This window comes from Homo sapiens, chromosome 2, assembly GCF_000001405.40.
Source record: "Homo sapiens chromosome 2, GRCh38.p14 Primary Assembly".
NCBI classification, from domain to species: Eukaryota; Metazoa; Chordata; class Mammalia; order Primates; family Hominidae; genus Homo; species Homo sapiens.
The window spans coordinates 33,601,854-33,619,184 of NC_000002.12; the positions used below are offsets into that span (position 1 = coordinate 33,601,854).

General features: G+C 40.9%; 1 long non-coding RNA gene and 1 pseudogene across 2 annotated transcripts in view, besides 1 other annotated feature; both read left to right on the forward strand.

Annotated features, from left to right (window-relative positions):
- Nucleotides 1–17,331, forward strand: part of LOC105374455 (uncharacterized) — a 56,893-nt gene that overhangs the window by 2,509 nt on the left and 37,053 nt on the right. The gene's annotated exons all lie outside the window — the stretch shown is intronic.
- Nucleotides 130–932, forward strand: ATP6V0E1P3 (ATPase H+ transporting V0 subunit e1 pseudogene 3; annotated as a pseudogene).
- Nucleotides 5,595–6,481: an enhancer, noted in NCBI's record as "OCT4-NANOG hESC enhancer chr2:33832515-33833401 (GRCh37/hg19 assembly coordinates)". NCBI's record gives its function as "activates a minimal SCP1, AML or CMV promoter by ChIP-STARR-seq in naive H9 embryonic stem cells {active_cell/tissue: H9 hESC(naive)}" and the evidence as "EXISTENCE:reporter gene assay evidence [ECO:0000049][PMID:30033119]".

Here is a 17,331-nt window from a genome sequence, read left to right on the forward strand (position 1 = left end):
CAGACCTGCAATCCCAGCACTTTGGGAGGCTGAGGCAGGACGATTACTTGAAGCCAGGGGTTCAAGGCCAGCTTGAGCAACATAGCAAGACTCTGTCTCTGTTAAAAAAAAAAAAATTAATTAAAAATGACTTCCAGGTGGGACCCAAGTGAGGCAGAGGGGCAGGGGCTGGCAGACCAGCGGTAAGCATGGCATATCAGGGCCTCACCATACGTCTCATTGCAATGAGCGTGTTTTAGGGCTTCACTGGTTTCTTCATGCCTTGGTTCATCCCTAAGGGTCCTAAGTAGGGAGTTATCATTACCATGTAGGTGACCTGTTCAGTTTGTTGCTGTCTCTTTTGGCTGATTGCAATCCTGGCCAACTCAACCCTCTCTTCAGACTGCAGTTGAAACATGAAATCATCTGGTATCCGAAGTGTCATTGGCCTTGAGGAAGACAGGCTTTACAGTGCTCAGTCTTAGCAGTCATGAGAAAAGAATTCCTTCTAGATGCAAAATCCAAACCACACCACTTTTCTTGACTTGCTTATTTTGGGCATCAGCTGCCTTAAACATTCACACCACATTTGAATGTCTAACACAATGCAGCATTTTTTTCTTCAACTTTTTTATGCTTTAATGAATTATGTGCCTACTTAACCTAAACTGTGCCAACTCCTCAAAATGATAATGCACTCTTTTGAGAGAGAAGATGCTTTTCTTCTGAGAAATGTGTTATTATGTCCTTGGAATTTGTGGATTTGTAGTGGCTCCTGCCTTCTCATAACATGGGAATCAGTGAACTATTTAGAACGTACTACTGCCTGACAAGACTCCAGTGGGGCAGTCAGTAGGAGAGGACGTTCAGAGGAAAGAGCTCTCCCAACAGAATTACACCAAATTATGTGTTCTTTTTTTTTTCTTTCTTCCTTTTTAAACAGAGTTTTGCTCTGTCGCTCCCGCTGAAGTGCAGTGGTGATCTCGTAGCCTCAACCTCCTGGGCTCAAGTGATCCTCCTGCCTCAGCCTCCCAAGTAGCTGGGACTGCAGCCGCTGGCCACCATGCCTGGCTAAGTTTTTTTATTTTTTGGTAGAGACGGTTTTGCCATGTTGCCCAGGCTGGTCTCAAAATCTTGGGCTCAAGCAATCCGCCCACCTTGGCCACTGCACCCCGTCATGAGCCACCACATCCGGCCCAAGGTATATTTTCAGCATGAATTTCTCATTTCTGCCATCTTTTGGAATAAATCATTTTTCTGTTTTCTATAGATAAAATAAAATATAAAATAAAGCTATTCTAGTGTCCCATCTTTGAGGGAGTCTGGTTACTGTCCATATTCTTAACTGCTGCTGCTACAGATTACCACAAATTTAGAGGCTTAAAACAAGACAGATTTATTATCTTACAGCTCTGGAGGTCAGACACCTGAAATGGATCTCACCTGGCAAAAATGGGCAGGTTTGCATTTCTTCTGGAATCTCTAGGAGAGAATCTGTTTTCTTCCCTGTTTTGGTTTCTAGAGGCCACCCACCTTCCTTGGCTTATGACTCCCCTCCTTCATCAAGACCAGCAACACCACTCCGACCCCTGCTACATGGTAGTCATGCCCTCTTACCTTCCTGCCTCCCTCTTTTACTTATAAGGACCCCCATCCTTGTGCCAGATAATCCAGAATAATCTCCCAACCTTAAGATCTTCAATTTAACCACACCTGCAAAGTCCCTTTTTCCATAGTCTCATGTTCCAACGATTATGATGCAGATAGTTTTCGGGGGAGGGGGGTCCATACCACACTGCCTTTCCTGGAGAGTAGAAACAATGAATGATCTTAAAGATCAGCCTTTTCTAGCTCTTCTTGAAGAGAATAAAGACAAATTATTTTTTTCACTTGTGAAAGAAATGTAAATGGGAAAATTGAAAACTGATTTCAGTTTCCAGAGGAACATGTTTTATAAGTCATAACCTTAAAAATTATTAGAAGGTTTTTAATTATATAGTAATTAAAAATTTATGCAGCTGACATCTTTAAGAAAGTTACTTCTAGCATCTATAGAAGTAATTTTTTATCATGGAAAAGAGGTAGGTATAAGCTCAAATATAAGATTTGTCATGGATTGGTTTCTAAGAGGTGATTAAATAGGCATCTAAAACAAATAACTTTTCTATCAAAAATAAAAGAACACTGTCTGAAAAATAGCAGCATTTTCCATTTTTAGTGAATTTATCTTTAGAATGACCCTCCAGCAAGGAGAAAATAGAAAGACCATAGATTTACTGGTGTTGCTCAGAAATGCAAGTTTGTATATGTTGCTAAATAAAGTCCTTTTCAGCTTGCACAGTGAAAGCACAACTCTTTTTTTTTTTAAGTTAGCATGTAGAATTAAATCTTGTATGGTCTCAAATACTTTATATTACTAAAGAATGCTGTTTTTTCAAATCATTCCTCTGGCTATGTTAGTATAGTTTCTGAGCCCTGGCAATTTTTAGAGAATATTACAAAGTTTGAGAACAACATCTTGCCTGTGTTTAAACTAAACAAAGGAAGTGCTATGTGTGTGAATGTACGTGTGTATATATATATATATATATATATTCACACACACACATTCACACACACAAATGTGTATATATATACAAAAACACACACAGAGATATATCCAGATCTTTCCAGAATAAAAGCTCCAAATTTGATTTCTGTTGTTCTCCCAACAAAGCTTCAGCCTAGTTGCCATGTTCTGCAATCAGGCACACAGTGAACCAGATAGAAACCCATCTAATTTGGATGCAGTAAGAGCTTATTAGACTGTAGCCTAGAGGTAATAAACTAGCCTTCACACCAGACCAAGCGTTGTATTTTGTTTGGCCTGTTTAATAAGTTAAAGAACTGAGCTTACATTTAAAAGTTTGGAGATTTTATTTTAAAAATCTGAGTGTCTGGCTTTTCTGGGGCGAAAACGTCTGCTGATTTGGCAGCATTGGAGGAACCTCATTGCCCATAAAGGCAATGATTGGCTTGGGTTGAGCAGGTTGCCCCTTCAACATGGGGTATGGATCTACCAGTTCCCTCTGTTTTCTGGACCCTGTAAGTCACACATTATGTCATATGTGTGAACATCCAGGCATTTATTTGCCCTGCATTATGGTTTGGGATTTCCAACCTTGTTTAGTCTTTTACTTGTTAAGCAGGTCTATCACTTTTTCTACCCTGTCTCCCATGGGCCTCTCCTCCTTTCTCTGCCTATTCCAGTCTCATGGAACTCCTCCTGGTCACTTAACATAACTTGCCCTTTCATGCCTCTATACTTTTGTACAGACTTTGCCTGGAATCCTGTTTCCCTCATTCGTCTGCCTGGCAGATTCCTCCTGCTCAGTCTTTGAGACTCAGTTTGGGAGAAGCCTTCTCTAACTGCCTTGGGCACTCATTCTCTCCTCCCAAGCCTTCCTTAGCATTTTGGCACAGGCAGCTTCAGGTGAGCACACGTGTAAACCCTCTGCTCTGTCAGCTACTTAGTTCACATCTTACCCTGTCCTCATGTCACAGGCCGACTAGTTCTTCTTGCCCGCTGCCCTAAAAGAACCAGTGAGAACCGGTATTGCAGCAAAGAAAGAGTTTAGTAATCGTAGGTCTGGCCAAGCAATAACAGGGAGAAATTTCTCAAATCTGTCTCCCTGATAATTCAGAGGCTAAGATTTTAAAGGGTACTTTGACTGACAGGGGGCTGGGGACCTGAAACAATTGACTGGCTGGGGTGAAATCACAACAGTGTCTGTAACTGTCTTCATGCAGCTTAGTCTGTTCTCAGGACCAGGTGGTACTGAAGTGCTGAATCTAAAAAATATCTCAGTGACCCAGTTCTTTAGGGTTCATAATAGTAAGGTTATAGGAGTAGTAGAGGAAGTTATAAATGTTGTGGCCCCAGTTACGTGACTCTGGGTCAGTTAGCAACTTGTAGGAAAACACATTAAGCAATGGCAGGTAATTGTTTATGCCAATTTTTCTTTTTTCTTTTTTCTTTTTTTTTTTAGATGGAGTCTCGCTCTGTCGCCCAGGCTGGAGTGCAGTGGCGCAGTCTCGGCTCACTGCAAGCTCCGCCTCCCGGGTTCACGCCATTCTCCTGCCTCAGCCTCCTGAGTAGCTGGGACTACAGGCGCCCGCCACCACGCCCGGCTAATTTTTTGTATTTTTAGTAGAGACGGAGTTTCATTGTGTTAGCCAGGATGGTCTCAATCTCCTGACCTCGTGATCCACCCGCCTCGGCCTCCCGAAGTGCTGGGATTACAGGCATGAGCCACCGCACCCGGCCTAACTATGCCTATTCTTTAGCAAAGTTCAAGCTCCTACCATAATTTTACCCGTGTCTTAAGAATGTGGCTTCAATCTCTGGATAGTGTGTGTGGGCATGGTAGGATAAGGCAGAGGCAGGGGGGAGTTAGTTTCCCTTGCCTCCAAGTTTAACTATAAACTAAATTCCTCTCATAGTTATCTTGGCCTCTGTGCTAGAATAAATAAAAAAGCAATTTAGCCTGTGAGGTTAGAAGCAAGATGGAGTTAGCCCTGTTAGATTTCGCTCATTATTTATAATTCTGCAAAGGTGGTTTCACTCAGGCCCCATCTCAGCTTCACTGCTCCACAAAAAAGTTGTTCTCTGATAGTACTGGTTAAAATTAATTTTCCTCTCTTCTGCATTTCTGAGGTAGCGGTGCTTAACTTGATTGAGTAGCATAACAACCTGGCAGACTTAAATGCAGATTCCTGGGCCCTGCCTCTGATGAGTCTATGTCAGCATTTCTGATATTATGGCATTCTGACATAGCACAGCAGTTATGGGGTGGGGTTTCTATATTTCTTTTCTTTTTTTTCTTTCTCTCTCTCTTTCTTTTTTTTTTTTTTTTCTGAGACGGGGTCTGGCTCTGTTGCCCAGGCTGGAGTACAGTGGGGCAATCTCAGCTCACTGCAACCTCTGCCTCCCAGGCTCAAGTGATCCCTCCACCTCAGGCCTCCCGAGTAGCTGGGACCACAGGTACACGCCACCATGCCCAGTTAATTTTTTTTTTTTTTTGGTAGAGATGGGGGTCTCACCTTGTGTCCAGGCTGGTCTTGAACTTCTGGGCCCAAGTGATCGGCCCGCCCTAGCCTCCCAAAGTGTTGGGGATTACAGGCGTGAGCCACCGTGCCTGGCTGGAATCTGTATTTCTTAGTACCACTTCAGATAGCTTCATAAGTAGTCTTTCATAATTTATCATTTATTAGTGTTTTATTTTTATGTTGCTTATTTCATGTGTTGTGATCTTTTCTCTCCAGTGGTTGTAAAACTGTAACCACCTAATGGGTTCTCCTTGCCTGCTGCCCAGATAGAGCTGACTTATCAAGGCAGGGACATTGCAATGGAGTTGAATTCATGAGAGCTGGGATTTCAGGGACTAGGGCTTTTCAAAGATAGTCTGGGGGAAGTGGTGGGGGTGGCTGCTGATTGGATGGTGGATGCAATCATAGGGTTGTTGGAAATGATCCTTCTGCATGCTGAAACCCTTCTGGGTGGGGCCACAGGAGCAGTGGGCGGGTCCAGGTTGGAGCCAGAGGCGTAGATGTCAGACATGTAAAAACCCTGAAAAGATATCTCCGAAGGCCACTCTTAGATTCTACAATAGATATGTTATTTGCAGGAGTAATTGGGGAAGTTGTATATCTTGTTACCTCCAGAATAAAGACTGGCAATCATTTATGTCTACACCTTAGCAGAATTCAGGCTCCTCCCCTCCTGCTAGCCTGGTGGCCTCTCATTAGCTTTACAAAGGCACTTGAGTTTTGGGGAAGGGCTATTATCATTTAAACCATAAACTAAATGTCTCCCAAAGCTAGTCTAGTAATAATTAAAGGCAGCTCGATTGCTTGAAGGCTAAAGGCAGGAGGGGAGTTGGCTAGATCAGATCTCCCCCACTGCCATAATTTTCTCACTGATACAATTTTTGCAAAGGCAGTTTCAACCCACCCATGTCCTACATAGTGCCTAATACATTGATGCCTATCCAGCAGCCATAAAAAAAATTGATTAGTTGATTGACAAGAAAATTTTCCTTTTTTCATAACTAGATTTTGCTCTCTTAAAGAATAGTGGTTCTTTGCAGCGAATAAATAAGTATACAATAATGAATTATGCTCTGAGCTCTTGGATCATCCTGGAACTCAGTCAATGCCTATTTAAAACTTGGCTATTCTGGGAGGATGATATATTCTCTGCTGACTTAGATTGTTCTTAGCAACTTTGTATTTTATCCTAGTGCAGAGATTCTTTTTGGTGTCTATGTGGGGGAGGGGGTGCATTAGAATCCTCAATGAGACTTTTCATGCTCTACAGCCCCCCTAGTCCCCATGAGAATCACAGCATTGTGATGAGAGATGCTACTGATTAGGAGTGTACTGGGAACAAAACAGGGTTAAATCAGAATAGCGGCTGTGAATCACTGTCCTAGAGAGAGTTTGCAAATATGACCATTATGATTAGATAAATGAACTAGAGGCTGATTTTGAATGTCCTCAGCAAATCATAATTTCCAACTCTTAGTAACAGTTATATATTTACATTCTTCATTATAACAATAGGATCATTGTTTGTAATCACAATAGAGATAAGAAAATACATTTTAAGCCAAAATGATTTTTTTTCAAATCCTTGGTTAGATTACTTTATGTTTTGGAAAACTTGGGTTAAGTCTCTATAAACCAAAAATAAAATTCTAAGACCTCCCAGCCATCTGAATGAGCTTCCTCCTCGGCCAGGGTGCTCTTAAAATTTAACCTGAGAGACTGGTTCAGGCCATGATGGGAAGTGGGGGTTGGACATGCCTCATTATACCCTCCAGCATTAACATCAACACAGACCTTAAGTCTAATAAGAAGCATTTACAATCTATTCTTTCTGAAGCCTGCTACCTGAAGGCTTCATCTGCCTAATAAGAACTTTGGTCTCCACAGTCCATTACCTTAACTCTGATATTTCCTTTCTATATTGATCCCAGGTTTTTAGATAAACTCAACCAATTGTCAACCAGAAAAATTTTAAATCTACCTATAACCTGGAAGCACCCCTACCACCCCCTATTCCCCCTTCAAGTTGTCCCACCTTTGTGGACCAAACCAATGTGTGTCTTAAATGTATTTGATTGAAGTCTCATGTCTCCCTAAAATGTATAACATCAAGCTGCACCCCAACCACCTTGGGCACATGTTCTCAGGATCTCATGTTCTCAGTATCATAGGCCATGGTCACCCCTATTTGGCTCAGAATAAATCTCTTCAAATATTTTACAGAGTTTGACTATTTTTGTTGACATCATGCAAATTTACTCTGAAGAAAACCTTGGGGGATCATTCTAGATTTTTCCCTTCTCAACCACTCCTAAGAGAGAATTAAGCCCTCCTGCCCTAAGGCATCCATTGTATGTAATAACTAACTTATTTCCCAGTATCTTCTAAAATGCCAGCTTTCTACTTGGAAAAAATGACAAGAGTCACTGAAATAATTTTCTCTAAAGCTCCAGTCTCTCCTGTGATTGAGAAAGGCTAAATTACCTAGATTCCAGTGGTTTTCTAACACTGGTGTGCATCAGAGTTTCTTGGACGTTTTTTAAAACATAGATTTCCAGGCCCTGTCCCTGTTCAGTAGGTCCAGGATAAAGCCTCCAAATTTGCAATTCTAATGATCACCGGGTCCCAGGTATTTCTAATGCTGCTGGGCCAGGGACCATAATTTAGGAACCACTGGTCTAGACCAATTCTTACATTGTTTGAAAAGCTCATGCCAATCAATAAGAAACTCATTTTACATCATGTCTCAGTACACTTAGGAACACACACACACACACACCCCTGAAACAGTTTTGAAACTGCCTTTGCAAAATTATAACTAAGGAAATTATGAAAGTGAGAGACATCAGACCTAACCAACTCCATCTTGCTTGTAACCTTTAAACTGTCCTTGTCCATTCCTGGATGTAGGCCAAACTAGCCTTGGGAAGGAATTTAGTGTATAGTTTAAGTAATAGCCTGTTGGGAACAGGCTCCCCAAAATCTGGCCATAAACAAAATATCTGCAGTACTGTGATATGTTCATGATGGCCATAATGCCCATGCTGGAAGGTCGTGGGTTTACCGGAATGAGGGCAAGGAACACCTGGCCCGCCTGGGGCAGAAAACCGCTTAAAGGCGTTCTTAAACCACAAACAATAGAGTGAGCGATCTGTGCGTTAAGGACATGCTCCTGCTGCAGATAACTAGCCAAACCCATCCCTTTATTTTGGCCCATCCCTTCATTTCCCATAAGGGATACTTTTAGTTAATCGAATATCTATGGAAACAATGCTAATGACTGGCTTGCTGTTAATAAATACGTGAGTAAATCTCTGTTCGGGGCTCTCAGCTCTGAAGGCTGTGAGACCCCTGACTTCCCACTTCACACCTCTGTATTTCTGCGTGTGTGTCTTTAATTCCTCTAGCGCCTCTGGGTTAAGGTCTCCCCGACCAAGCTGGTCTTGGCAATAGCCCTTCCCAAAAGCTAAACTGTTCTTGTAAAATGAATGAAAGGCCACCAGCCACCAAGGTAGAATGAGAGGGGCTGGAATTCTAAATATTACCAGCCATTATTCCAGAGGCCATAAGATTCACAACTTCCTCAATTACTATTAGAGGTAACATCACTATTGTGAACCTAATATCACCTTTTGAGATGTCTTTTCAAGGTTTTGCATTTCTAACAACCAGATGGTCCCACCTGGACCTGCCAACCAGTTCTGTGGCCCCCACCCAGGAACTGACTCTGTTACGGGATGGTCTTTGTTCTTCAAGCTCCCAAGATGGTGGGGGGCCACTCCCAAGATGGTGGCAGCTGCTCCCAAGTTGGGGCAGGCCTTTCGTTCTCTGACCTGGGATTCTTGGCTTCACAGATTCCAAGGAATGGAACCTTGGCCCATGCGGTGAGTGTTATGGCTCTATTAGAAGCTGTGGGTCACAGAAGAGAACCGTGGAACCCAGCGACTAGTGTTCAGCTCGATTAGGATGAACCCGGGCACTTAGCTGCACAGGTACAATGGCGAACCTTTAGCCCAATTGGGAGCAGCAATGGGCGCCTCACTGGATCAGGAGTTCAGGGGACACCCTGCTGGATCCGGAGGGGTGGAAGTCAATGGTGGGTCTGCGACAGCAGCAAACAGCAGTGGTAGATAGTGAGTGAAAGCTCAGCTTGAGCTCTAACAAACATGGACCAGAAGAGTGTGCAGTTGCAAGATTTAATAGAGTGAAAACAGTGCTCCCATACAATGGGAGGGGACCTAAAAGGGGTTGCCCCTCCCTGCTCCAATGCCTGGGTTTATATCCCAATCATTGTCCCTCCCCCTGTGCTCTCAGGCGATACATGATTTGACTATTTCTTTACCTCCTGCTTTTAGCCTAATTTGTATTTTAGTGAGCCCTGTTTACTACCTTATTGGTCAGGTGTGAGCTGAGTTACAAGCCCTGTGTTTTAAAGGTAGGTGCAGTCACCTTCCTCAGCTAGGCTTAGGATATCTTAGCCTAGGAAATCCAGCTAGTCCTGTCTCTCAACTCAGCATAAGTGAACAGCTTTGACTCCCTGTGACTTCATCCCCGAACCAACCAATCAGCACTCCCAATTCATTGGCCCTCTACCCACCAAATTATCCTTTTAAACCCTGATCCCAGAGTTTTTGGGGAGACTGATTTAAGTAATAATAAAACTCCTGTGTCCTGCACAGTCAGCTCTGCGTGAATTACTCTTTCTCTATTGCAATTCCCCTGTCTTGATAAACTGCCAGTGTCTAGACAGCAGGCAAGGTGAACCCACTGGGCAGTTACAAATTTGGGGGCTCGTCTGGAATTGCCCTCGTGGGTCTGCCCATGGTTCAGCAGCCCCCCTCCAGTGATGGATTCAGAGGCCAGCCCAAGCAGCCACCTAGTTCTCTTGGACTGGAGGCTAACTCTGGTCCTGTTTCTACTGGTGGGGTGCTGCCAACCCAACATGCAAGGATCTAATTGCAATAGAGAAGTAGTCCTGGGGAGACGTCCCATAACTGTATCCCCATCACAGGGTGTCTGTCTGTAGGCCCATTGCAGGGTGTCTGGGTTGGTGAGTATCCTAGGCACTGCCAATGCCTCCTTCCTTCTCCTGACTGGTTCTCTCGCCCCATGGTGGAGTGTCTGTCTGTAGCCTCATTGCACAGGGTGTCTGTTGCTCCACCATGGGGTGTCTGTCCTGGTTTGGCTCCTGAAAGGCCTTGGTTGGCTCTCCCTAAATAATAGGAAGGGTATTGGTTGAGGAGACTTCTCCTCAATCAGGAAGATTTCGGGGAGATTTCTCACATGGAGAATAGGAGGATAGTTGGGAAGGTATACTCTGGAATTCTTGGTTAGGGATCTTGATTCGGAAGGCCTTCTGTCCATCTTGTCTTTGTGTATGTGTTTGTATATGTGGAGAATATTTCTGAAGGAATTGCTGATGGAAGTCTAGCAGGCCTAACTCAGAGAACCCTCCTTATCTATCTGGTCACATTCAGTGAGTCCGGAAAGAAGTTTAACAGGCCTGATTGAGGGTAACTGCTCTTCATCTTGCCCAGAGACAACCCATTGAATTCTGGATTGGAGGTCACCCCTCCCCACCTTGAGTGGATCAAAGACAACAGGGACCAATGGGAAAAAGTTTCAGCATTGCCAGGTTGATGTTGGGTGCTGAGCGAGGTGACCAGTGTCCATTGTGTTATGTGTATTTTGCTTCTGCTGGGATGGAAAATGTTAATTTGGTTCCCTATGCAGCTCATCAGGCAGCATCTTGCATAATTGAGAAGCTTTTGCTGATGGTTTCATAAAACAGAAAAGGATTATTTTCTTTTGTAATGGGGCTTGGTCGCCGACAGCTATGGCACAGTGAACAGGGCCATCAAAAGCCTCTCCATTCTTCTGGAAGCTGCAGAGAAAGGGGACCCAGAAACCTGGTATACCAGCAAAAAGGGTAAGAAATTCTTATCAGTCAAGTTTCTGGCCTGCCTCTCTTTCTCTTTCTTTCTCTGCATGTCGGGTGATGGTAAATGATAAACATCACTGTGTCTCCTCTGCAAGGGTTTTATTAATAGTAAAAAAAGGATTTGTGAGACTAGTCATAGGCTATAGCAAATCTGGTGCACTTTGTGCCAAGAATTTGTCTTTCTGTAATGGAGAGGAGGGTATCACAGGATAGAACGTGGGCTTAGGACCCCTGTAAGCCAACTTTTCAAGCCAGCCTGGCAGGCTGGTCCGTTACAGACTTTGCTGCGAGTCCCTGAAACCAATACCAGATGAAATTTGTCTTGTTTTGTGTCCTTAAGAAGTTAACATTGTGACCATGTGGGGATACTTTATCTTGGTCTCCACCATCCAGAGGACAGGAATTTTGGGGTTCATGTCACAGCCTTAAAAATTACCTTGAGCAGTTAAAAGTCTTTGCAAGCTTGAAATTGGCTGCTGCAGACTTCTTCTGGGAGAAACAATGCTCAGTGCTGTGTAGTTTAGTAGCTAAGGCTTTATCTTTTGACAGCGGTGGCCCAGGTTCAATTCTTGGCTTCCGAATGATTCCTTTCTGGTTTGTTATTTGTGTAACTTTGCCATGTATGGAGGTTCCCTCCCTCTCCCCATGGATAGCTTCTGATTTCCTGTCTTGAATTTTCCTTTCTCTGAACTAACCTTGGGAAGATTCTAAATCTTGTTAAAAAAAAAAGAAAAAGAGAAAAAAAAGAAACTGCTTACCATCTCTTTAAAACACCTTATGCGTTAATGGTTAAGTTATAACCTTAGTTAAGACTTACTATTTCATGTGGGAGGTTACCTGGGGTAGAATTCAAAGGCCGGAAATATTGGCTGTCCTGGCTAGAGTCTGGTAATAAGAGATTTAAAAAAGAATTTTTTAACAAAAGAACTCTGTGGTTAAAATTGGCTTAATTAAAAATGGATATTCAAGCTATATATATTTAAAAGACTTTTTTTCCTTTTCTTGAATCATGTTTTTCTTCTAAAGAAAAGGGAAAAATGTTTTTCTTATCAGTCAACTAACCTGTTTTTCTTCATTTTGTCTTCTTGCCACTGTTGATGCCCACATGAGAAAACATAAGATAATTACTAACAGCCTGGGCTGCCTGGGGAAAAACAGGAGGTACCATGGACCCCATTCTGGGAAAAACTTCTGTTTTCCCATGGAACCCCAGGAATTGAAAGAAAATAAATCCCTCTCAAAATCTAAGGCTCTGTTCTCTTTTGCACTGTGTTAGCTGATGGTTTTGACTTTTGGGGGTATCAAACATTACTTTGCATTGCATTAGCTGATGATTTTGACATGTGGGGGTATCAAATTACTTTGCATTTTAGCCTTGGTGTATAATAACTAGGTAGAAAATATACTTTAAGGGATGGCTGAGGCAGTTATGGAGAAATACTTTGCTCTTTGCACACTTGGATTAGAGAAGCATGCTCTTGGCCACCTGGAAGATATGGAAACATCCCAATCCCCCCAACTGAGAGATAAGACTTCCTTGGGGGATGGGGTGATTACAAAATGGGCTGACTGTCTTTGAGTTGCCTTGCAATAAAATGCATGGTAGAAGCACACCACTATCTTCTCCCATAGTATTCCCCTCCTTTTTGGGGATCCATGATCCAGTATAAAATGGCACCCTTAATTTTGGGGATTTGTTTTTGCCTTCCTGCTGTGCCTGCTTATTAGGTCCTAGAAACTGCAAGCTTTCCTGGTTCTGTTCCTCCAAGGGCTCCACCCTGAAGTCAGTAATCCAATTAAGAAACTGGCAAAAGGAAGATCTTACAACTGCTGGATCTTCTGTCTGTCTGTCTGTGTATTTATATGTGTTGTGTGTGTGATGTTTATATAGAAGAAATCTGATTAATTGGCTTAGAAAAATAAGCGCTTAAATAATATTTTTTTCAGAAAAATAGAAACTTTAGAACAATGCCTTTTTGTTCACGTGACTTTAATAATCATTTGGAAATAAAGACAGCTTTAAAGATGATTGGTAAAATAAAAATGTCTTCAAAATTTGGACATTTGGTCTAAATTAAGGTCAAATACCAAATTCGCTAAATGCTTTAAGGTCATAAACTGCTTCTTTGACTTTTGAAAATTGTTCAATTTATCTACTTTGAAGCATTAAATTCTAGATAAGGCCTGGGGACATGTGGAGTAAAATTGCTTACTTATCAAGTATTTCACCAAAAATAAAATTTGCTAAGAGTCAACATTGTAACATGTAATTAAGACTACTAAGAAAACCAGTTTTACATACAGGATGTATAAGAAAAGTAAAATGTATTTTTGGTAAAAAAAAAATTATAAGATGGCATGAGAATGTAGTTTCTGTTAAAGGAAATGTAATTTTGTCAGAGGGTTTTATAGATTTCTTACCCTAAAAGAGTAATGGGACAAAACTTAAGGCTTAAGAGAGTTAAAGAGGGGTCATAGAGGACTGCTGTTGTAAAAAAAGTTCTGTGGATATAAGCTAGTTGGCTAAGATACAATGATGACTAATTTTTTTTCCATAGGTTAAACATTAGAATAAAAGCACACTGATGCGGGGTCAGAATCTGGGCTCATATGTCCAAATAACAGGGTTTTATTAGAAAATTAATTTGCTGGTTTATAAAAAAAATTGTAAAGCATTCTTAAAAAAGTTTACAAAAATCTTACCTTATGGTCAAACTAATTAAAACTGGATAGATTATAAAATATGTTTTTAAAACTAGCTTTTGCATTTAAGATGCACTAAGGTAAACATAAAAGTTGGTTTCTTCTTTTTTTAAAAAAAAAAGATTTTTATGTAATACTATGAAATGCTGAAAGATTTTTGTTTGCCTTTTAAGTAAATTACAAAAAATGTGGGAATTGGAGAGAGAAGAGACAGATTCAGTTAGCTTTATGCTATCTTATTGGGTCTTGTTTGGAAAACTGAGTCTCCCATCTAGCAGAGTAAAGGGTTGTCTCTTTTAAAACTTTTGAGTTATCGTTTTGGCTAAATAAATGACTTATGGTGATCTTGGATTCTATTTTGTGATATCCAGTGTTTTAAACCTTTGATATTTGACAAACCTTCCAAGATCAAATTCTAAGTTATTAACGTAATAATTAGGTCCCCTAAGTCCAAAAAGACATATTCATCTTATTTAATGTATTAAAATCATGCAGTAAATTGTCAAATATAAAATGGTGTTTAATTTTGGGTTATGTTCATACATATATGTTATTAGTATCTGTTTCAGAATTGTATAAGATTCCTATAATTCTGGTATGCCTCCGTATATGTTATCAGTAATAATTATAATTGTTATGTTAAATTCTTTTGTGCCACAGAGGTAATACATTTCCTCGTCAATTGTGCCTTTGTGGCTGCCCTAAAATGTTTTTGTCATCCACAGACAATTGTTGTCTCATTTTGGTTCTCTTCAGAAGACGGTTTTATAATCAGGTATAAAACTTTTGCAGGTGCTCTCAAATGCAAGTTTCTGATAACTTTGGAGGTTATGACATTAGAATAAAATAAGAAACTTTCAGGACTGTCATGGATAGCTGAAGTGATCATGAATATCAAACACAACACGAGTTAATTGAATGGACTAAACTAATAAAAAACTGAAGTAATCTTTTTTTTGACTTTTTGCTTAAAACATTGCTGATCCTTTTTGTTTTCCAGAGCCAAGAACACTTTTCTTTTGAGCTATTTACTGCTTTTGACAATTGAGTAAAACATACTCCTGTGAATAAAATTTGGAGCATATTTGTTTCTCTCTATCTGATTTCTCCAGAATTTGGAAACTATTTGTGAGTATTCTTAACTTATGGCAATATAGTTATTTGCATAAGTGCATTAAGAATGTTTTCTTTTGAAGAGACTGGTTGTTTCACCAAGGCTTTTACTGGAATGGCATGCTTTCCTTTAAGGAATCAAACTTGACTTATAGAGCCAATAAACATTCCCTGGGAAAACTGGCCTCATACCTTGTCTACACAGTCCCTGTACAGGAATCCTTGTAACCACCCAAGGGATTCACCTTGCCCACTGCCTAGACAGAGTCGATTCATCAAGACAGGGGAATTTCAATAGAGAAAGAGTAATGCATGCAGAGCCAGCTGTGCAGGAGACTGGAGTTTTATTATTACTCAAATCAGTCTCCCTGAGCATTTAAGGATAACTTGGTGGGTTGGGGGAAGCCAGTGAGCCAAGAGTGGTTATTGGTCAGAAGTGAAATCACAGGGAATCAAAGCTGTCTTCTTGTGCTGAGTCAGTTCCTGGGTTGGAGCCACAAGATCAGATCAGCCGGTTTGTTGATCTGGGTGGTGCCAACTGATCCATCAAGTGCAGGGTCTGAAAAATGTCTCAAGCACTGATCTTAGGAGCTGTTTAGGGAGGGTCAGAATCTTGTAGCCTCCAGCTGCATGACTCCTAAACCATAATTTCTAATCTTGTGGCTAATGTTAGTCCTACAAAGGCAATGTAGTCCCCAGGCAAGAAGGAGGTTTGCTTTGAGAAAGGGCTATTACCATCTTTGTTTAAACTATAAACTATAAGTTTTTCCCAAAGTTAGTTCAGCCTAAGTGCAGGAATAAACAAGGATAGCTTGGAGTTAGAAGCAAGATGCAGTTGGTTAAGTTAGATCTCTTTCACTGTCTCAGTCGTAATTTTGCAAAGGTGGTTTCGTCCTGACTTGTGGTAAGTAAAGAATGTCACTTTCTAACAGGCCCAGGAGCCCCAGATTATCTTGGGACTTTCAGAAGAATTTACCCAACTTGTAGGTATTTAAGTGTACAAACACATGGCTGGGCTCAGCTTAAAACAGTCTTATCTGAAATTCCTTATGGAACAGAGTTCCATCAAAGCCAGTTTAAAAAGCCCATATGAAAAATAATTATTCTTGGTGCACTTATACAAATAATCAGGCCAAGTATAATAAAGCAAATTGGTGTTACCATTATTTGTCTTTAGTAAAAATGAAAAACTGGAGAGAGAAAAATCATGTTTGAAAAACTATAGGATACCTGTTGTTAGATGTTCTTAAGTTTTTCTTTTTTTCTGCAATTTAGATTAAATCCTAATATTTTTGTGGGCTACAGGTCCCTAAATTAATGTTTTCAAATCTTTACTTTTAAAACTGGGAATTGCGCTTTTTATCCTAGAACTCATTATTTACTTTATAGGACACTGTCCACTTAAATGCTGTACTGAAAGGTGTTAGTATAGATAACAACACTAACACCTTTGTCATGCAAGCCTTGAAACCCCAGCCAGGCCTGCCTGAGTATGCTTGGACAGTTGCAAAGCAGTTCTACTCTCCTCCCCTTGGGGTCAACACCTACCCTCACCACAACAATTTAATTAGTTACAGTTTGTTTTCTTTTCTGTACTGTTTGTTTTTCTTTTCCTTTCTAATTTAAAAGAGTGTGTTTAACCCTCCATCTTAGACAATGTGATAGTCATGAAGTCTTTGTGTAAGAAAAGAAGAAGAAAAGATAATCTGTAATGAAGATCAATAAGGGTCTTCTCTGGTGCCCTTCAGTTAACTACTGTCTTTTACAAAACAACGTAGGTAAGGAAAAAAGTTAATCTATAACAGAGAAATAAAAATCACATTGGCCTAGGTGACAGCTGCCTGCTTATGTTGACTCAGGTACCATAATCACATTCCCTTAAGGCTCAGATATTTTAAAGTTCCAACAGCTTAGATTTTAAGTGACCTATTTTTACAGAGGAAGGATTCTGAGCATATTCTAAGGCAATGACATTTAAGTGGACTTTCAGCCTAGTTCAAAGGAAAACCGGGCCTGATTCATAAAGAAGGAAAATTGAGGATAAAGAACTATAGGGAAAAAAAAAGTTACCACTATAGGTGTATGACAGACATTTAGACTACAAGGAAGCCTTTGATGACCCAAAGGCCTGGAAGGGGGTAGGGGGAGGTGATAATCAGGGAGAAAAGGCTCATGTTATTGTAGTGGCCTTGGAAATGGGAAAACTGTGGATGAAAATGTCGGTAGGATGGGCACCACAGTTACTCCAGAAGTGATGTCAGGAGCCATGCTAATAGATGGGAACAGATTGACTCCAGGATTCACTAATGAGGACTGTCTGAAGACTGATAATTTGTTTGGGGTAATTCACCATCTGTAATTGTTCATCAGGCTAATATGTCTTGGGCAGTATAGTTACTTAGGAAAGAGAGTTTCTGGTTTGTGTGAACTGACCTGCTTCAGTCCATGAGAGGTGATGAACTGATACTGTTATTGAAATGCCAAGGGTTCAATCTAGGTCCCATTAC